Source organism: Homo sapiens, chromosome X (genome assembly GCF_000001405.40).
Source record: "Homo sapiens chromosome X, GRCh38.p14 Primary Assembly".
Lineage (NCBI taxonomy): Eukaryota > Metazoa > Chordata > Mammalia > Primates > Hominidae > Homo > Homo sapiens.
This window is the reverse complement of record NC_000023.11, coordinates 53,069,223-53,089,861: the sequence shown is the minus strand read 5'-3', so window position 1 is coordinate 53,089,861 and position 20,639 is coordinate 53,069,223. Positions and strand designations below refer to the sequence as shown.

Sequence of the window (20,639 nt, the reverse complement as noted above, 5' to 3'; positions counted from 1 at the left end):
CAGGTCATCAAAAACAAGGAAAGCCTGAGAGAGTGTCATAGCCAAGAGGAGCTTAAGGACACAAGATGACTAAATGTAGTGTGCTATTCTGGATGGAATCCTGGAACAGAAAAAGGACATTAAGTTAAAACTAAGGAAACTGGAATAAAGTATGGACCTTAGTTAATAATAATGTACTGATATTGGTTCATTAATTGTGACGAATGTATCACAGAAATGTAAACTGTTAATAAGGAAAACTGGCTGTGGGACATACGGGACTTCTCTGTTATCTTCACAATAATTCTGTAAATTTAAAACTGTTCTGAAATTAAGTTTATTTTAAAAACCTCTCATATCCGCCCCCATCTTGCCAATCCCACCTGAGGTCTAGCGTCTATTTCCTTACTGCTGTCCTTCCTTCCAGTCAGTTCTCCTGGCAGCCAGCAGAGGGCATTCTCTAAAACGCAAATCTAACCATATCTGAAGCCTTCCAGCAAAATAAAGGCGTTGGATGGAAAGTTCGGGAGATATGTTATAAAAGACCGACTCGGATGTCTGAATAAAAGTTATTGTGATCCAGAACAAATCTGGGAAATATTCCTGGCGCCCACCGAGATAAAATTTATGTATCTAAATTTAATATAACTCAGCCTTTCCAAGGTCTCCCGGATAAAGCCTGTTTTTCAGATGTCCAACTCCCTACGTTTCCACCCCTTCGCACAGTTACATAGTTAATTCCCCTTTGTTTTTCCTTTATCTCTACGGATACTTCTCTGCTTGAGCTATCTTTTCTGCCTTCTCCCCCAAGCCCAGCTCTAGGGACTCTGCACCCCTTCCCAAAGGCAAGAGAGCGCTCCTGCATAATTGGGTTGTGATATCCGGACCGAAGTCGTGTTTTATTTTTACTAAATGCGAATGAGGAAAATGAATTCCTTTGGCTCCCCACGCCCCGCTCACTCTAGGCCCGAGGAAAGGTTTGACGCACTATAAATTAAAAGATGAATCACTGATAAATGGATGTTCTAGGACGCAGGATGTCTCTACACGCATGCGCCAGAGGGGAAGGCGTGGGAAGCCCTTCGCTACCTGGCTGGGTCCGCTGCGGGCGCCAGGAGAAGGAGGGGCTTCCTCAGCCTCGCACTGCCATTGGCCAGGATGATCCGCATTGGTCTGACGCAACGCCTCTGCGGCCTGGCGGAGCTCGCCCCCCACCCGCCAAACCCCCGCAACTAGCATGTTGCAGGATACTGCGTAGGCCAGGCGGCTACGTGTGGGCCTGGGGGAAACTGACCGCTGGGGCCGGGGCACCAGGCTAAACAAAAGACTCGAAGCGGCACTCTGAACTTGCTCAGAATTTTATTGGGATTAACAGGGTCCACGGGGAGAGGCGAGCCTTCTGGGGGACGGGGACAAGAATACCGCAAAGAATACCGCAATGGCGAAGCGGCCTTGCATAGACACCGAGGCGGGCTAGCGGCGCGGCGGGAAGAGGAGAGGGATGGAGAAAGAACTTGGGAGAGGAAGGTGGCAGCAGCGCCTCCATGGGCACTGCGCGGCTGTGACGAAGGCCACAGCGGCCCTCCCCGCTTCGGGGGTCAGGGTGTCCACTCCACACAGCACAGGGAGAGGGGCTGGGGCCACAACTGACTGGGAGAAGTGGGTAGAGGGGCCCTGACCAAGGCATCACAATAAATACAGTTAGCAGCACACAGAAGCCTGCGGGGGCGGAGGGCCAAAAGAAGGGGACTAGCCCCCTTTCCCTCCCCCCAAAATAAGAACTCTGCAATGACTAAACCATAAAAATAAACTTTAAACCCGTGTACGAAGTCGGTCACCCCCCAGAAGTGCAATGTGGGGCCGCGTGGCCCTAGCTGAGGAGGAGGGCAAATGGGATAGTGGGTGGGGGATACAGAGAGGTGATCCCCAAAAGGGGAAAACCCTTATCCGGTTTTCCCCCTCTTCCCCGGATTGGCCCAACCGTTTGGGACCTGAAGCACATCCTCTAGGTCAGAGTCGTCCGAATCTTCCCCTTCTTCCCAGACATCTTCACTTCCTTCCTCCTCATAGTTTCCTTCCTCATAGATGTCCTCATCTTGCTGGATGCCTGCATAGGGGAGAAGCAAGGAAGGGGAAATGGAGGAAGGCAGTTAGATGAGCAGATAGGTGTCACTCTAAAAGGGAACAGAGACCATAGCCAGGGTTTTTAGCGGCCTGGGACAACTTGTCAGCGCCTCTGCTTGGAACAAACAGCCAAGAGTGTGTGTGGGTGTACTCAAGCAAGCCCACAGAATGAGAGGGAGATGGAGGGAGGCAGGAAGGCAGTGTGGGATCCCTGCCTCTGTCAAAACTGATACATCTCTGATAGTAGCTTTTTCTCCCCCTTGTACTCCTCAATGTGTGTCTCTTCCTGAGCTCTGACCTCAGCTGAATAAACCTATTCATCTCCAGGCAGCTTCCTCGCTTTCTCCCCCAGTCTGATCCAAAGAGGCCCTAGTTTGTGTTCTGCAACCCAATTCCCCACCCCCACTCCCACCCTCAGGGCTGGGCAGATAGCTCTGCCTCCCCTTCTGAGAAAAGAGATGCCATCAGGTGGGAGGGGAAGAGAACTGAGAATCCCTGTTTCTCTCTCCTACCTGAACATGTCTAGATTGAGGCTCCACATTCATTCCTCTTCCCTTAGTGCCCTGGCCTTGCCCTCAATGGAAGTTTGCCAGGGACCCCATAGCCAAAAAAACCCGAAGAGTAGTTGATTTTCCTGCCCCTTCCACCTCCCATCTGAGTACTTCTCAGCACCTTTATAATTCTCGTGTTATTCTCAGAGCCTTTAAGGTGCTAATGTGACTCTACAAGAGGGTATTACTATATGCAGTACTTGTCCAACATATACGACCACTGAAACCTTTTGTGGGAAGCAGCTTTCAGATCTGGTGAGTGATCCTCAGGACATAATTTTGGAAACCCTGCCCAACCTACGATGCATTTTCACCCTTCCAGGTCCTTGTTCAGATGATCCACTCCACGGAGAATGCTCCATAAAGCTCCTCAGTGTGAATGCATCCTCCAGTTCAAATGTCACCTTTTTCCTCTAGCTCTTCCCCCGCCACCCCCCCCACCCCGATTCTTGAGGTAGAACTGGCTGCACCCTTTTCTGGACTCAGAGAGCACACTGTTCACTTCATGCTCTGCTCCCAACACAAGCCTGGAAATGCGCCAAAGGCCAAGGCCGGGTACAGACTGTGCTGAAATGCACTGTGTTTTGCCACTCCCCCACCTCGATGTGAAGTGTCCTTTTCAGTTTTCCACCCACTGTCTCCTATCTCTGTGTACTCTTCATCTTCTGCTGTTACAACCATCTATCCATCACCTAGAACTAAAATGATTTTTTGGGGTTTTGTTACATTTTTAAGTTAAATGTTCACTGGACTTCCTTTGTTTAAAAAGTTGCTCAGAATGCTTTTTCTTTCCTCCATAAAAGCAGATTGTGTTCATGCCTTGATACCCTGTCCTTGGCCAGGCTTGCTCTGAGAAAAGAAAAGAGGGAAGACAAGGGTGGGGGGGGATTAGCTCACCTTCCTCAATGCCCTCTTCTTCCACTGATTCGTCTGAGATGATCTCTATCACGTCCTCGTAGTCAGCCTGATCCTTGTCAAAGTCTTCAATAACTTTCTCATAGTACTCAATGTCTCTGTCGTCATCATCGCTGCCTTCATTGTCACCTTCATTGCCATCATCATCACTGCCCTCATTGTCACCTTCGTTGCCATCATTATCTTCATCATCACTGGCCTCATCTGCTTCATTGTCACTGTCGCTGCTGTCCTGGTTGTTGCCATGGCTGCCCCAGAAGCCACCTTTGAAGAAGTTGTTGCCGTAAGTGTTCTCGTTGTTGTTAGGGTTCTCTTCGTTGTCATCAGTGTTCTTGTTATTGTCTTCAGGATTCTCGTTGTTGTCATCTGCACTCTCATTGTTGTCAGTGGTTTCGTGGTCATCAGCACTCTCGTTGTTATCAGTGGTCTCGTTGTTGGGGACCTCATTGTGGTCAGGATTCTCGCTGTCGCAGATGTTCTCATTGATGTCAGTTATCTCATTGTCAGTGGTCTCGAAGTAGTCGGTGGTCTCCATGAAGTCAGAGATCTTGATGTCATGAATTGTCTCATCAATGTCTGAGATCTCGCTGAAAATGTCTTCCACTGCATAATAGTCAGGGGCGTCTTCCATGATCACCACCTCACATCTGCCCCTGGTTTTACTGTAAGGAAGGCTGTGGCTGAGTATAGGGTTGGTGGGAGGTGGTGTACTCATAGCACTCAAAGGTGGGAAGTAACTGGGGAAGCAGTAGGCTATAAGGGATCCCAGGAATGGGGCTAGGGTGGGTAAAGTCCCACTTCTGCCCCTGACTGTGTAACCTCAAGCCATTTCTGGGCATGATTTCCCACTTGTAAAACATATTCCACTGGGATTATCTCAAAGGTCCCTTTTTGGCTCCATAAATCCTGTGTTACACTAGTCTTTTCCCCATCCCCAACAAACCACCTCTCAGCGACCAAACTCCCATTACCGTTTCTTCATTTCTTGCTTCTTTCTCTTTATCCTGGAGCCCCTTTCTCTCAGGTAGTAGCGTAGAGGGTTAACCCACAGATCATTCTTGATAATCTGTTGAAAAAGGGGAGAAGGAATAAGACAGCCATTAGTACAAGCTCCAGATCCTCCTCTTAATTCCCCACGCACCCAGGAACAAGCCTAGCAAGGCCTTCTCTGGTGATGCCAGGAAGGGCCCCACCTCAGCAATCCTGTCAGCCTCTGGGAGGCTATGGTTTGAGAACCAGCTGAAAAAGCTGTGGCTCGCATCCTGGTTCCCGTGACGACGGGCCTGGGGTTCCTGGCCCCGGTGCCAGCGGATTGGGGTTGAGTGAGACACCAGCCGGCCTAGGGAGAGAGAAGGCTATGGAGATGGGACAAAACAAGGACAGATTGAGGGGGGGAACATGGATTTACTCTGGTACTGCCACTTACCTGAGCGGTTGCGCTGGAACTCCTTGACAATCACCATGTTTGTGAAGTAGGGGTTAGTCTGGAAGTACAGCTTCATTTTGTAGCCCATGGAGATATGTCTGAGATCCTGTACCTGCTCCAGGTGGGGGTGATGGTGGAATCTGTCCCCCCCCCAACACACCACGGCCCTTCCCACCCACCTCCCGTCACCTCCAAGAACCAGATTCGTGCCCGATCCTACTAAAAAATGTCTCTCTGGCCTGACCTGCAGATTGGTCAAGTAGCGGAAAATGTCTTCATCACGTCGGTTGATCAAAATTGAAATTCTGGGGTGGTTGAGGAACTGATGAGTGGAGCAGTTTAGGTCAAGGATTGACTATTCCGTGAAAGGGAGGGAGGGAAGGCCAGGAAGGGCACAGTAAGAGAGGCTGGAGCATGAGGATTCCTTCTGTGCTTATGTGGTGTGTATAAAGCAAGTGAGTCATGGGACATAACCCATACTTATTCCCATGATAAACCTCTATGTTAGGTGGCCCTACAGGGTGTCGACAATCCATGTGCATGTGGTATATGTCACTGGGTGCTGAAAGCTTGTGTTCACAAAATGCACGTCTGGGGGCTTAAGGGCCATGTCCAAGTGATGCTGTAACTGATTGCTGAGGGCCTGTGGTCACGTTATTGTATGTATGGGTGTTGAAGGTCCATGTCCACATGATGTGTGAATGGCTCTGATGGCTTGTGGTCAAGTTATGCCATGTGTCTACATGCTGAGGACCTGTGGTCACATAATACTGTGTCTAGGAGCTGAGGTCCTATGTCTAAATGATATTGTATGCCTGGGTGCTAAGGGCCTCTTACCATGTGCTGTTTCATATGAGGGCTAAGGGTCTGTATCCACATAATTCTATTAGGATGTTCGACTCATGTTCCTAACATGTTACATGTATGTGTATGTGTCTACTCTCCCCTTTCCTTCATTTAACTCCTTTTTCTCTATACCTAGACACTCCCTCTCTTGATCTTTCAGGGGCTCCAGCCCCCCTCCCTCCAATGCAAGGCACTCCAGCCAGGATTGGGGTCTCCTAGTATCTTAAGCAAAAATCTAGGTTTACAGAGCCTTGTATGGCTCAAGCACCCTTTCTGGGCAGTTTCTCTGCTGTGTGCCATTCCCCTCCCTCTTCAAGGTCTCTGAGTCAGTTCATCTTCTACGTGCCCCTCCCCTCCTCCTTTCACCATCTCTGGTCCAATTTTTTTGCTGTGTGCCCCTTTACTACCCTCCCCCTTTTTATCATCTGTGATCCTTTTTTTAATGCTATGTTCCTCCTCTTCCCCCTTTCCCATCTGTGGTCCAGTTTTTATGTCCGCCCCCCCTCCACCACCCTTCATCATCTCCAGTCCAGCTTCTCTGCTGTTTTGCCCTCCTCCTTCCATCCCTCTTCCACCCAGTCTAGTCCGTCTTCCGATAGGGGGATCATGCCCACCTCTGGCTCTCCTCCACCCGCTTTACCTTTTCTGTCCCTCCCCCACCTTCCCCTTTCCTGTCACGGGCTTCTGACCTACGGAGTATCGATTAGAAGGATACTGCTTTGACCCAGAAGCCTGGGATATGCTGGATGATGAGGTCTCTGCGCTCCAGGAAGGGTCTTCGCATCTGGATGAACTTGCGCTTGAGACGCAGGAAGGCTTTGCCTGCCTTGATGTTCACTGCCTCCAGATCCAGCTGAATATCCTCCAGTGCCTGCAGGATGCTCTCCATCCTCTCGGCATTTCTCTCTCTGCTTTCCCTCTTCACCTTCCTCTGCTTCCTCCTCCGCCGCCGCCGCCGCCTCCTGCTGCTCCTCATACTCTCCCGCTCATCCTCATCCTCATCCTCCACTATGATGATCGCCTCTTCCTTGCTCTTCGGGTCAACTAACCTCTGGGGCGCCCACCCCACTGCGCTACAGGTTTCTAGGGCCCCCTCTCCACCAAAACTGCTCGACTGTACAACCTGAAAATCGATTTCCAGGCTCCCCCCCGAGGCCTCAGGAGTGGGGAGTGCTTCCAGGCTCTCCGTGGGCGGGGGCGCCTCCCCATACCCCGACTCGATGGTAGAATCCCAGCCGGGACACTCAGCACCGAGCGTGAAGTATGCGCGGATCCCCCCCTCCTCGAGAATGACATAGGGAGGCGGCGGGGGCAGCGCGGGGCCCAGTCCCACCCCCCTCATATCGGCCAGCACCTGTGCCGCCTCCGTTTCCTCCTGGAGCCTCGGGCGCTGCTGGGGTGGAGGCAGCGGCAGTCGGAGGAGCGGCGGCGGCGGCGGCGGCGGGGGCGGGTCGCGCTGTGGAGACTCGGAGCTGCTCAGGCGGCGGGTCTTGGCCGGAGGCCCCTCATCTGGGCGGTCCATGGCGACCGCGTTCGTACAGCTCAGGGGACTCGCACTCGCCCCTTCGCTTTTAGCCGCGTCGCTGCCGCTAGTCGCACCGGTAAGCAGAGCTGAGGAGACTCACGCAACCAGCTCTCCTCACCACCTCGCTCTGGCGTTCCCTCCCACAGCGCCCGCTCTACTCCCTCCGCGCCAATCGCCGAAGCCCCGCCCACTCCTGACGCAGGGGTCCGCTCGGCCTGGCCATTGGCTGCCGGCCGCCGCGGCGGCGATCGCGCTCCCGCGACCCCTGCCCGCTCTCACGCAATCCGCTTGCCAACACCACACATCATCAGTTTCCGATTGGCTCCCCTCGGGCCCGCCAATCAACGGGCTGACTCCCTCAGCGACGGGAGGGAAACTGCAGGGCGATTGGCTGCGAGGAAAGCTGGGGAAGAAGCCCCTCTCCCTCACCCTCTCAGCGTTTTATCCAATGGGAAAAGTACCAGTGGTTCTGAAGACCAAAAAACGAGACGAAAAACAAACGCAGGCGCTGAGCAGGATGTGCTCACATGAAATTGGAAGAGCCTCGTTATCGTTCCCCCCGCCCCCCTCCCCTCAGCAACTACGCACTTTTAAAATCTGCCCCTTCCCCCATTTCCTTCAGCTCCTTCCCCCACCCCCGCTTCTGCCCCTTCCCCCATCCCGGGTCCTGCCCCTTCCCCCATCCCAGCTCCTGCCCCTTCTCCCACCCCCGCTTCTGCCCCTTCTCCCATCCCCCACTGCTGCCCCTTTTTCCATCCCCGCTTCTGCCCCTTCCTCCACTCCCCGTTTCTGTCCCTTCCCCCACCCCCCGTTTCTGCCCCTTCCCCCATCCCCCGCTTCGGCCCCTTCCCCCACCCCACCCCCGCTTCTGCCCCTTCACCCCCCGCTTCTGCCCCTTCCTCCCCCGCTTCTGCCCCTTCCCTCACCCCCCCTTCTGCCCCTTCCCGCATTCCCTGCTTCTGACCCCCATCCCCCAACTGTCTCTTCCCTCACCCCCACTTCTGCCCCTTCCCCTATCCCCCAACTTCTGCCCCTTCCTTCACCCCCCAACCCCACTTCTGCCCCTTCCCTCACCCTCCCGCCCTCCGCTTCTGCCCTTCCCCTATCCCCCAACTTCTGCCCCTTCCCTCACACAACCCCTGCCCCCCGCCCCCCCGCTTCTGCCTCTTTTCCTACCTTCCACTTCTGCCCCTTCCCCCACCCCCCACGTTTGCCCCCTGGGTGAACTCTGCTGTAGCTCCTCGGGGGCTCGGGCTGCCCTACCGCCTGCGCCTGCAATTTAGGCACCCAGGGTGTTTGGTTTGGGGGCCAGGTTTTGACGTGGCGTTTTCCATCTCCGCAAAATGGCTCTACAAATAATAATCACACACACAAAAAAGTAACTTCCTCTGCGTCATAAAAATGATTGTGATTCAGCTCATCTGCTAGAATTTTCTAGCACTTTCTGTCTCTTCATTTCTCCCCCTTTCCATCCTTTCCTCTCCCTTTCCCCAGTGTATGCTGTATTTTAAGATTTTTCTTTTTAAACCAGAGATGGATGGTCTTTTGTGAGGCATGGTGGTGGAGGGCTGGCTTTGGTGCTGGGATTCACATCATGGGTGTGCCCCTCATTTTGTAACCTTAACCAAATCACTGCCCCTCTCTGAGCTTCAGTTTTCTCTCCCCTAAATTAGGCATCCCTCAAGAGAGGTGTAGGTAACTGCCCATTGCAGCCTTGTCGCGGAGCAGAGAGGAGACCTAGGGATCCATCATCAGGGGAGTGGATAAGAAAAATGTGATATATGTTTTAGATGGACCACTAGAATGAATTAGATCTATATACGGCAACATGGCTGGATCTCTCAAAGACAGAATGTTGAGTGAAAAAAGAAACAACAAGATTTATAGTACAATACTGTTTATGTAAATTAAAACACACAGCAATACCATACATTTTTCACAGATACACATATATGTAAATAAACACATGAACGGTGGATTGGAAGGACGTACGTTAAATACACGAGAGTGGGTGCCTGTGTAGGGGGCGGGGAGGATGGGATCAGGAATGGGTGATGAAGGGGACAAAACTGAAGAAAAAAAAATAAAAGGGCCTCACATGGACCAATGATGATATAGTGTGCCAAGAACTGAGGAGTATGGTCAACTCAATTCTGTGCACCTGAGAGAATAACCAGATAGTAAATTAACTGTCTAGGGAGCAGGCTGGCTGGGTAGACTCCTGGGCTTGGGTTTTTTTTCCCCATGACATCCCTCCCTCTAAATTTGGTCAAAGCTGACCAAAGTCCCAGCTGCATACAGTGGCCCCTAGGAAGGGCTCCCATCCCAGACTGAGCAGTCCCTCCAGAAGCCATTACTTTGTGGGGGGCATTTCCTAACCTCATCAGTTTCCCTCACATTTGATCCTCAATTCCCAGTCCCCATTCTCCATGGTGGTCCAATTTTAGGAACACCTTGTTTGAGTTTGGGAAGGAGACTGAGACGGGGTTGAGATGGGGCTACAGGCTTTGTGAGGAGATGAGGTTTTCAAGTTCCCTGGCGGCCCCAGCCCTCCCGTGCTCAGGGCCTGGGCCAAGGGAGGCCCATCTTGTGAGATGGGAGTCTACCCTCTTGCTACCGACCTATGTAGTTTCCAAGATCCATCTCTTGACCACTCGACTTCCTACCACGGGCACATACTCTAGTTTGTCTCCTCTCAACTGTGGTGTGTGTGTGTGTGTGTGTATGCATGCACGTGCTGTATCTGTCCCCATATACAGGCATTTTACGTGTGTGCACCGGGCAAGTTTTCTTCAGGAGTGCCTCCCCACACAAAGTCACACAGACACACACTATCACTCAATCATGTCTCTCCACATGTGGTCAGACAGGGCACATGCACGCACGCACGCACACACACACACACAGTCAGAAAGAGAAAACATCCAGTATAGCATTGTTCATTTCAGTTTTTCCATTTACAAAATCCAATGGTGAATCCAGGCAGTTAGAAAAAAGAAATGGAGGAAAACCCTCCTAAATGTACCCTATCTACCCCCCACCCCCTTGGTCTTCCCACCCCACCCCCTCGGAAAGGCACCCCCATCACTATCGCTGAGAGAACAGGCTCCCCTACTCCCAGCCTCTCAGCCACTCTGGCCTGCCTTTCCAGGGCCACTCTGCAGCCAGGCTCATTAATGTCTCTCCTGCCTAGAGTGCCCTCCCCATTCTGTATGGGTCAGGCTTCCCCAGTTCTGGGGCTCTCTTGGGCTAGGGAGGGAGTTTAGGACAGGGACTTCTATAAAGAAGGGAAAGGGGGATGGATAAATACAGATTCCGGCCCCACAGGAAGTGAGAGGGGGACAGAGAGCCTGGGTAAGACCAGGGCAAGGAGTGCCAGCTTGGCTCACCAATCCACAGAACAGGCCTCAAAGTAAGCCCAGAGTGGACTCCACCCCTGGGAGGAGGCTTGGATCTCCCTCCTGGAGAATCTGACTGCAGTGTGCTCCACTTTGGGTGTAGGTAAGGGTGGGGGAAGGATGGGGAAGGAGGGTTGTTGGGAAAGAAGGATGCTTGGGGCTCAGGGCCCAGTCAGCCAAGGGCTACTAAGGAGGGGCTTGAGGCCCCTGAGGCTTGAGGGGGACAAAAAGAGGTCAGATAGGAATGGACTCAAGTCCACAGTGCCTTGGAGTTTGTACCGCTATCGGTTACCAAGGCCCCAAACAAATTTTCATCTTCAGAAGAGTAGGGTGAACCCGAGAGACAATTCTGGGGTTGAAATCAGCTCTGACCCAAGTCTCTGTGGTCCAGCTACTCTGGGGAGTTCAGCTCCCTCCTTACACTTTCCTGGTGGGCTGCTCCTGCCTGTATGGCACCCACATCAGTCCTAGTGGGGCTGGAGTGGATTTCCATCCTCAGGAAGAAGAGTTGGGGGCTGGGGATCCTGAAGGCAGCGTGAGAGAATGTGACCAAGTGTGGGTCTCTTCAGTTCGAGGAGTTCAGCTCACATCTTACTCTTCACCTAACCTGGGCCCATCCTTGGGGCCCTTCTCCCTACTCCCTTGACTTCTCCAACAGATGCACAAGAACCATTTGGGAGGTCTGGACATGGTGGGGAGGGAGAAGAGACTGGGCTTGGGGCAAGGGTTGGCCTAAAACAACATTGCACATGACATAGTAATTAAACATCCCTGCTCCCTGGGAACCCAGCACCCCCTTTGGTCCCTCTTGTCAGCAGCCTTGGACCACTTTCTCCCTAAACATCCAGGCCTTGCTAAAGGACTTGGAAGGGGAGGGTGCATGGGAGCAGAGGGGGCAAAAGAGCTCTGGAAGTCTATTTTACAGGACAAATTCCCCCTTCTGGACAGTGTCAGAAGGAGAGACATTAAAGTAAGAAAGCCTGTCTCCTCAGCTGTTAGTAGAAAAACCTGCATTCTCAGTGTTCTTTTCTTTTTCTGAATTGTCACTTCTGAGAGAGAGAGAGAGAGAGAGAGAGAGACAGAGAGAGAGAGAGAGAGAATGAGATTGTAGAAGTGGAGAAGGAGGCAGCGGAGACAGGCCCCACAAAACTAAATATGCCTCTTTCCCAGTCCCTCGCCCAGTCCTCCATCCTTGGGAGGTGTTGGCAAAGGTGCCTAGATTACAGGTGGTTCGAGGGGCTGGGGCTGGAGCTCAGAAAGGAGGACTCCTGTATGGGCCCCTACCCCTCCCTTGCTGTTGGCCCCATCACGGTGGCCATGACCTTCTCTCTGCCTGTCTGCCTACCAGCCTGCTTCACATGACACAGTAGGGTTCTCTGGGAGCCGGGGCACCTCCTGTGCCCCAGCAGGGGGCGTGAGTCCTCAGGCACTTCTTGAGGTCCTTGTTGAGCAGGAAGCAGACAATTGGGTTGACGGCAGCCTGGGCGAAGCTCATCCAAACAGCAGTGGCCAGGTAGCGGTGGGGCACAGCACAGGCTTTCACAAACACTCGCCAGTAGCAGGCCACGATGTAGGGTGACCAGAGGAGCAGAAAGAGCAGTGTGATCGCGTAGAACATGCGGCCCAGCTGCTTTTCACCCTTGACCTCGTCCATGCCCAGTAGCCGCCGGCTGGCTGCATGCCCATTCTGCCGGATACCCAGCAGGGTTGGTGGCATGGGCCCACGGCCAAAGCCGGCGATCCAGTTGGCAGCAGCCTGGCCGGTGGCCCCGGGACCATGGAATGTCCAGTTCTGGCTGATGGCTGGCACCATCTGCACTGGCTTCATCTTGCGGTGACGATACTCGAAGAGGAGCAGCTTGCCGTAGACAGCATGGGTAGCTGCCATGAGCACAGCCAACATAAGCATGAAGCCCAGCGTGTCATTGGCCTTGAAGTAGCGATGCTCAAAGATGCACTGGTCCTCCTCCCGAATAAACTTGTAGGTGCCCACGTCAAAGACAGGTGGGAAGGCCATGGCCACAGACAGGGTCCAGGCCATGCAGATGACAGCCGCGCATGTCCAGAGTGTCATGCGCTTGGCGTAGAAGCGGTGGTGGGCGATGGCCATGTAGCGGGTGACGCTGATGCAGAACAGCATGAAGGCCGCATGGAAGCAAAAGAGCACGGCCATAAAGGCCACAATCTTGCAGCTGAGTGCACTGAAGGTCCATGAAGAGCCGTGGCGCACAGAAGCCAGCACAAAGGGGAAGCAGACGGCAGAGCGTATGCCATCGGCCAGGCACAGGTCCAGCAGGAAGTAGTAAGGAGCCTTGTGCAGGGCACGCTCCTTGAGCACCAGCAGGGACAAGATGGCGTTACCCGCCAGGCTCACGCACATAATCAGTCCCAGCAGTACCAGCTTCACATAAGCTGATGCGGACGGTGGGGACAGAGCGCCGCTCACCTCCTCAGGCTCTCCGGTAGTGTTGGCCATACTGAGGGTCAGGGGCTACTGCCAACCCTAGGGGGTCAGCCAGTCCGGTACTCGATGGGCCCGGGGGGGCTCCATGAGTTGTCCTGCTACATTGCACCTGCAAATGGGAATGAGCGGGGGAGACACAGACACAGAGAGACAGAGAGATGAGGGCAAGAGAGAGACAGAGAGATGAGGGCAAGAGAGAGACAGGCAGAAAAACACAACAGGCGTGCAGAGACAAAGTGGGAAAGAGAGAGAGAGAGAGATAGAACAAAGAGATAGAAAAGTGGCCACCGATATAAATGGATTGAGATTGACACAGAAATGGAGGGGATGAGAAAGAGCGAGGAGAGAGAAAGAGGGGAGAGAGAGAGAGACAGACAGGAGACCATGAGAAACAGATGGAAAGGAAAGATGAGGAAGAAACAGAAAGGGTAGGGTTAGTGTGTCTACGAGCCCTCCCCAATTATGCCCTGGCTGGTGCCAGGCCCTGCCCCTGGGCCACTCCTGCTCCTACCCGCTCCTTGTCAGGTGAGGATGCTGCATTTCTTTGGATGTCTTTGGTTACCTGTTTCCTCCACTGGTGGATCTGTGGGGCAGGGATGTTGGTGCAGCTCTTCTCCCCTTTTGCAAAGCTCTAAGGTTGTGTTCAGACTTTTTTTTACTGCCACCCACAGTAAAAAAATACATTTTACATCACAACCCGCTACACATACATGCACGCACACACACAGCTCAACCAAAAGTTTCACAAAACAGTACTGAACCTGTATGCAATGTACCCCATTCATTTTTATTCTCTTTCATGTGTTCTTAAAATGCTGGTACCACTCACTTAATAGATTTCTTTATTCATGATGAGGAATGTGTTTAGTGTGCTTGAGGAACAGCAGGAAGACGAGTGAGGCAGGAACGGTGAGAGCAAGGGAGACAGTGGTGGAAGGTGAAGTCGCAGAGATGCCTTGGGGCCAGATTGTGTAGGGTTGTGGGCCACGATGAGGACTTTGGTTTTTATTTTAGGTGAGGAGGCAAGTATGTGTGAATATAAACATGTAGGGATGCTTGTGCATATTCATTCATACACTGAAAAAATATTTATCAAGCATCTGTGTGCCAGGCACTGTTCTAGGTATTGGGGATACAGCTGTGAACTACACAGATAAAGATCCCGGCCCTTGTGGAACCGACATTCTAGATAACAAAGAAGAGACACGGGTGAAGTATAGTATGTCAGATGATGACAAGTTCCTAAGAATAAACATAAAGGAGGGAAGGAAGATAGGAAGTGCTAGGGGTGGGGAAGATGCTGCAGTTTTAGATGAGGTGGACAGGGGAGGCTTCACGGAGGAAGTGTCATCTGAGCACAGACCTAAGGGAGGTGAGAGAGTGAGTCATGCGGATATCTCGGGGAAGAGAAGTCCAGGCAGGGGGAACGGCCAGAGCAAAGGCCCTGAGGTGGGACTCTACATGGCATATTTGAGGAAGAGCAAGGAAGCCACTGTGGGTGGAACACAGTGAGTCAGGGGAATGTGGTGGCAGGTGAGGTCAGAAAGGTGGTGAGGTCAGATCAGGGAGGCCGTGGCGAGAACTTTTTCCTCTGAATGAGATGGGAGTCACGGGAGGATTCTGAGCAGAGGCCAGATGTGGTATGATCTAGGATGGAACAGAATCCCGCTTGCCGTTGTGAAGAGCAGGGGTCATGTGGGGTGTATTAAAAGTAGGGAGACTACTCAGAGGCCCCTGCAGCAATCCAGGTGACAGATAATGCCCCCTCCATGCCACTCTCCCTATTTTGCCTCCTAGAATTTCTCTCTTCTAACACACTATATATTTATATATATATAATTTTATAATATAAAAATTTATATATAAATTATATATATTTATATATAATTATATTTATATATAAATACAAATAAATAAATATAAATATATATTTATATATTTATTTATAATATTTATAAATAAATATATATAAATCTATATTTATAGTTATTTATAAATAAATATATATAAATCTATATTTATAGTTATTTATAAATAAATATATATAAATCTATATTTATAGTTATTTATAAATAAATATATATAAATCTATATTTATAGTTATTTATAAATAAATATATATAAATCTATATTTATAGTTATTTATAAATAAATATATATAAATCTATATTTATAGTTATTTATAAATAAATATATATAAATCTATATAGTTATTTATATATAAATATAAATATATATTTATATATATTTATATATTTATTTATAAATAAATATAAATATATATAAATATATATAAATATACATTTATATATAAATATATATGAATGTATATTTATATATATTTATATGTAAATGTATATTTATATATGAATAAATATAAATGTATATTTATATATATTTCTATATGAATAAATATAAATGTATATTTATATATATTTCTATATGAATAAATATACATGTATATTTATATATATTTCTATATGAATAAATATACATGTATATTTATATATATTTATATAAATGTATATTTATATATTTATATATAAATAAATATACATGTATATTTATATATTTATAAATATATATTTATATTTATATATTTATATATAAATATATATTTATGTATAATATATATTTATGTATATTTATATATAAATATAAATATATATTTATATATAAATATACATAAATATATATTTATATTTATATATAAATATATATTTATATATATATAAATAAATATAAATATATATATAATTATATATAAAATATATAAATTTATATATATAAAATTATATATACAAACTTTTTTATATATATAAAATTTTTTAAATATATAAAAATTATATATATATAATTTTATATATATAATTTACTTTTAAATTTTAGTTTATTGCCTGCCTTGTCCTGTCAGAATGAAAGCTCCACAAAGGCAGGAGTTAAAGACTCACTGACTCTCCTCTGAAAGAACACTACATAGCACATCATGGTAGGCTCTCAGTGACAATATATCAAATGAATTGATTGAGGGATTAAATGGGCTGGGGCTGTGGGTCAGAGAGGGTGCCCTGGAGACATCCAGGCAGGATTAGCTACAACAGCAGCCTGGGGGGTACATCTGGTGGTGAGAGCAGCGCAGCAAAGCTGCAGGAAAGAGGAGAGCTCCGGGAGTGTGGGGATGTGACCAGGTAACAGCACAGGTCCCAGAGGGAAGGCAGTGAGGCAATTGGGCAGAAACTGGGGAAACTCAGGATGATTGTTGGGGCTGGGCTGGGATTAGGGGGTGGAACTTGAGTGGATGTCTTCCTACTCCCTCCCTCCCAGGAAAAGTCTCCCCTCTGCATGGTTTTCCAGCTCAATCCAGCCTGGCCTGCCACAGCCACCTGGTGCCCGGCCTTTTTTTTTTTTTTTTAGACAGTCTCCCTCTGTTGCCCAGGCTGGAGTGCAGTGGCAGAATCTCAGCTCACTGCAACCTCCGGCTACCGGATTCAAGTGATTCTTGTGCCTCAGCCTCCCGAGTAGCCGGAATTACAAGCACACGCACCACCACACCCGGCTAATTTTTGTATTTTTAGTAGAGACAGGGTTTTGTGATGCTAGCCAGGCTGGTCTCCAACTTGTAACCTCAAATGATTCGCCCGCCTTGGCCTCCCAAATTGTTGGGATTACAGGTATGAGCCACTGCGCCCGAGCCAGGCTTTTTAATGGCACCCTGAAATCTCAGAGCCCATGACAGGAGGCCAAACTAGTACTTAGAAAGTGCTAGGGCAGGGGCTGAGCAGAAATGGGGTTGGTGGGCTCCCTTTCAGCCCTTCAAGGCCTGACAGCCCCCTCAGACTGTGGAACAGCCCGCAGCTGGGTGAATGTAAACACACACACACTTACTCTCTTTCTCTCTCTCTCTTTCTCTTTCTCTCTCCTTTACCTTGAGGGGAGGCAGAGGGAAAGGGATAGAGACAGACAGAGACTGAATGTAAGAGAGAGGCCAGAGAGACACAGAGAGAGAGAAGGAGAGAGAGGTGTGTGTGACAGAGACAGACGGAGACACAGGAGGGAGAAAGAGACAGAGAGAGAAACAGAGAAAGGGGAGAGAGATCCTTACATACAGAGAGGAAGAGAGAGACAAAAAGGGGAAGAAGGGTGAAAATGAGAGTGAGAAAAAAGAGACAGAGGCACACACAGAAACCAGCATGCCAGACAGAGAAGGGAGAGAAATAGAGAGAGAGAGAGAGAGAGAGAGCAAGAGAGAGAAAAGGAGAGCAGGGAGAGGGAGAGGGCTAACGCCAGGAAAGAAAGAAAAATAGAGACGGGGTGGGGTGGGGCAGAGATAAGAGAGGGTAGCTGGAGAGAGATAGAGAGAGAGACAGAAATAAAGATGGAGATAGAGAGGGAGACACGGAGAGCCACGCTAAGACCGAGAAGGTGGATAATGCGTAGCCCTGAGTCTCAGTGAAAACAAAAGCTAAAGATAAAACAAAACCCCCCACATCCCCCCCAAACAATAGCAGCAAACAAACACAACCCTGGGAAAGCTCGGGACATTTTACAAACAAGTGAGGAGAGGGTTTTCCTCCGCAGACTGGCAGCTGCAGCCCGGGCCCAGCTGAGGCTCAAGACGCGTGCAAACACAGAACACACGCACACCTGCTCGAGCCCAGACACGTGCACACCCCATCCCCCCATAAACGGTCTACTGCTGTGGACACCCTCAGACAGCAACCCGCTCTTGCATGAGGAACGCGTGCGCACGCATGCAACACACATACACACACACACTCACACATACGCACACGCACTCACACACATATGCACACACGCACACGGAGGCAGAGGTACATCTTGTACTCTGCCGTGTTCACACAGGTACACAGTGTACCCTCTCCGAGCGCCAGCGCTTCGTCCTCAACAAAGGCGTTACTGCCCTCTAGGGGACATTTTGGAAATTTGTGTAGGAGCATTTTTGATGGCCACAGTGCTGGGGTGTAGGGTGTCCTTCTGACATTTAGGAGTCGGGGAGGATGTTGGCCATCCAGTAATATGGGGGAGAGTCCCACGCAGCCAACATGTCCCGCATCCTCTAGGACTTTGGACTTTTAAGTAAGTGAACTTAGAATCTATTTCACAGATAAACACCATTTTTTTTCTCTTGATTTTAACATACCCCGAATTATCCAGGAACGTGGCTGTCATGTAAGTAAAGAGGAGGCTGCACTTTGGTTTGGGATGAGCTTTCCTTAGAGTTGTTGACTATTTTAGAAAATCTCACCTCCAAGGCCTGTGCCTGTCATTTTCCTGCACGTCCTGCCTCTGATGTTTCCCCTTCTCCTAAATCCATAGTTACCCAGTATAAGACATTGGGGGCCGGGCACAGTGGCTCACGCCTGTAATCCCAGCACTTTCAGAAGCGGAGGTGGGCGGATCACCTGAGGCACGGAGTTCGAGACCAGCCTGACCAACATGGAGAAACCCCGTCTCCACTAAAAATAAAAAAATACAAAATTAACAGGGCGTGGTGGCACATGCCTGTAATCCCAGCTACTGGGGAGGCTGAGGCAGGAGAATCACTTGAACCCGGGAGGTGGAGGTTGTGGTGAGCTGAGATTGCGCCATTGCACTCCAGCCTGGACAACAAGAGCGAAACTCCATCTAAAAAAAAAAAAAAAAGACATTGGGAGCCTCTAATCACTTCCTTGAATCTCCTGGGGAGTGTCATGCCCAAGCATTTACATATTGAAATACAAATCGTTTTCTTATAAATCATTTTTCTTTTATTTCTTATTTGTATTATAGTTAATACAAAATGGATATTGTATAAAATATGGATTTTCTTTTTAAATTACATGTGCAGAGGGCCAGGCGTGGTGGCTCACACCAGTAATCCCAGCACTTTGGAAGACTGAGGCGGGTGGATCGCCTGAGGTCAGGGGTTTGAGACCAGCCTGGCCAACATGGTGAAACTCTGTCTCTACTAAAAATACAAAATTAGCTGGGCGTGGTGGCACGAACCTGTAATCCCAGCTACTCGGGAGGCTGAGGCAGGAGAATCACTTGAACCCAGAAGGTGGAGGTTGCAGTGAGCCGAGATAGTGCCATTGCACTCCAGCCTGGGTAACAAGAGTGAAACTCCATCTCAAAAAAAAATTACATATGCAGAGAGATTATATTCCTAAGAACTTCATTTCCAGACAGTAAAGGGGTGTTACAAAATATCTGTTATGTACAAGAGGGCACTGGATATGAGAGGGCTGAGAATTGTTCACATACACAGACACACTCAGATACACACTCACACACATGCAATGGTCCACAAAACCACCTTTGTAACTCCCCTAACACACACATGGATGAACGAGATCTCAAACACTGACAGATAGGTACACACAAGCAAACTTACCCACATATACTTTCATTCACACAGACATATATATACTCATTGACCCAATATAGCTGATGATTCAAATCCTCCCACATATTCAGACACAACACAGATATACACAAAGTTGTATATTAATATTGTCACATAGATAAACACTGTCACGATATTAACACTCAAAGTTACTTACATATGCCAGCAGGCTGACACGCACTTGAACCCTACCATGTGTGTGTATACACACACACATACACACACAGGTATAGTACATAGAATCCCCCTCAGAGACCTATAGATATATATGCACCCAGAAAAAAGCAGGCAAGTAAAAAACTGCCCACATATACACACACATGCTCTAACACAAAGAGACAGATTCAAACTCTCTCACATAGATTAGGTGTGCTCACCAACACAAATATGTATATCCTGGTATATGTACACACACACACCCATTCACATATACACTCCCACCCATGAACAGACTTATAACAGCTCCAACACACACACACAAAGGCACACTCATACACTTTAGCAATACGCAAACAAACACAAAGATAAAAATTGCATATTGTACATATACAGACACACACAAAGACAAGTACACATGGGCAAACATGTGTACACATATAAACTTGCTCACACACAGATACACTTAACTGACATACACATCCTGCAACAGGTATACCGCTGGAGCCAAACCTGCTCATGTGCAGAGACCAGCTAACTCTTGCACTTGTAAGTGGACAAACGAGCAGAGCTGCCCAGCTGGTAGGCTCCTACCACAGCAGAGGGCTAGAGCAAGAATGGCTCCAGAGCAACCATGTGCAAAGAGAGGTGGTAACTGTTTTCATCACTTCCCGTTGAAACATTCCAGATAGTATGATTATTACTTTGCTAGTTTATCATCAGTGAGGTTTTGGAGTTTGGCCTATACCTATGTGGACAATGTTTGTTTTTGTTTTCTTTTCTGTTTTTTTTTTTTTTTAAGAGAAAAGGTCGGCTGGGCACGGTGGCTCACGCCTGTAATCCTAACAC

The 20,639-nt window shown here is 49.0% G+C and overlaps 2 protein-coding genes across 7 annotated transcripts in view, besides 5 other annotated features; both read right to left on the bottom strand.

The window, feature by feature from the left end:
• Nucleotides 1,322-7,495, bottom strand: TSPYL2 (TSPY like 2). Of its 5 annotated transcripts, NM_022117.4 has the most exons (7): nt 6,557-7,495; nt 5,240-5,317; nt 4,996-5,107; nt 4,763-4,908; nt 4,541-4,635; nt 3,552-4,231; nt 1,322-2,086 (listed from the first exon to the last, which is right to left on the bottom strand). In NM_022117.4, exons 1-7 carry the CDS (start codon nt 7,361-7,363, stop codon nt 1,923-1,925), a joined length of 2,082 nt encoding a protein of 693 aa, NP_071400.1. In that variant the 5' UTR covers nt 7,364-7,495; the 3' UTR covers nt 1,322-1,922. The 5 variants fall into 5 exon arrangements, with proteins under 5 accessions (NP_071400.1, XP_016885216.1, XP_016885215.1 ...); XM_017029727.2 differs by having other exon boundaries at nt 4,996-5,317; XM_006724592.5 differs by lacking the exon at nt 1,322-2,086 and having other exon boundaries at nt 2,096-4,231.
• Nucleotides 7,121-7,170: a silencer, noted in NCBI's record as "silent region_20854". NCBI's record gives its function as "represses an Ori minimal core promoter by ATAC-STARR-seq in GM12878 lymphoblastoid cells {active_cell/tissue: GM12878}" and the evidence as "EXISTENCE:reporter gene assay evidence [ECO:0000049][PMID:35858748]".
• Nucleotides 7,201-7,250: a silencer, noted in NCBI's record as "silent region_20853". NCBI's record gives its function as "represses an Ori minimal core promoter by ATAC-STARR-seq in GM12878 lymphoblastoid cells {active_cell/tissue: GM12878}" and the evidence as "EXISTENCE:reporter gene assay evidence [ECO:0000049][PMID:35858748]".
• Nucleotides 7,521-7,630: a silencer, noted in NCBI's record as "silent region_20852". NCBI's record gives its function as "represses an Ori minimal core promoter by ATAC-STARR-seq in GM12878 lymphoblastoid cells {active_cell/tissue: GM12878}" and the evidence as "EXISTENCE:reporter gene assay evidence [ECO:0000049][PMID:35858748]".
• Nucleotides 9,247-20,639, bottom strand: part of GPR173 (G protein-coupled receptor 173) — a 31,827-nt gene continuing 20,434 nt past the window's right edge. Inside the window, exons 2-3 of one of the 2 annotated variants that reach the window (XM_047442184.1) lie at nt 18,495-18,874; nt 9,247-13,337 (exon numbers count right to left, since the gene is read on the bottom strand). In XM_047442184.1, the coding sequence (XP_047298140.1) occupies nt 12,119-13,240 (1,122 nt within the window). In that variant the 5' untranslated portion in view covers nt 13,241-13,337; nt 18,495-18,874 and the 3' untranslated portion in view covers nt 9,247-12,118. The remainder of the gene's footprint in view (nt 13,338-18,494; nt 18,875-20,639) is intronic. The other variant, NM_018969.6, reaches the window with a different exon arrangement.
• Nucleotides 12,213-12,272: an enhancer, noted in NCBI's record as "active region_29651". NCBI's record gives its function as "activates an Ori minimal core promoter by ATAC-STARR-seq in GM12878 lymphoblastoid cells {active_cell/tissue: GM12878}" and the evidence as "EXISTENCE:reporter gene assay evidence [ECO:0000049][PMID:35858748]".
• Nucleotides 17,876-18,377: an enhancer, noted in NCBI's record as "H3K4me1 hESC enhancer chrX:53100667-53101168 (GRCh37/hg19 assembly coordinates)". NCBI's record gives its function as "activates a minimal SCP1, AML or CMV promoter by ChIP-STARR-seq in primed H9 embryonic stem cells {active_cell/tissue: H9 hESC(primed)}" and the evidence as "EXISTENCE:reporter gene assay evidence [ECO:0000049][PMID:30033119]".

What these genes read in the sequence shown, in the direction of transcription:
- TSPYL2 (XM_017029726.2), bottom strand. Translation starts at nt 7,363, where the DNA reads ATGGACCGCCCAGATGAGGGGCCTCCGGCCAAGACCCGCCGCCTGAGC. An exon ending in GTTCCAGCGCAACCGCTCAG is followed by an intron (nt 4,909 to 4,995) that starts GTAAGTGGCAGT and finishes CTCTCTCCCTAG; the next exon opens with GCCGGCTGGTGTCTCACTCA. An exon ending in AAGCAAGAAATGAAGAAACG is followed by an intron (nt 4,232 to 4,540) that starts GTAATGGGAGTT and finishes CCTTCCTTACAG; the next exon opens with TAAAACCAGGGGCAGATGTG.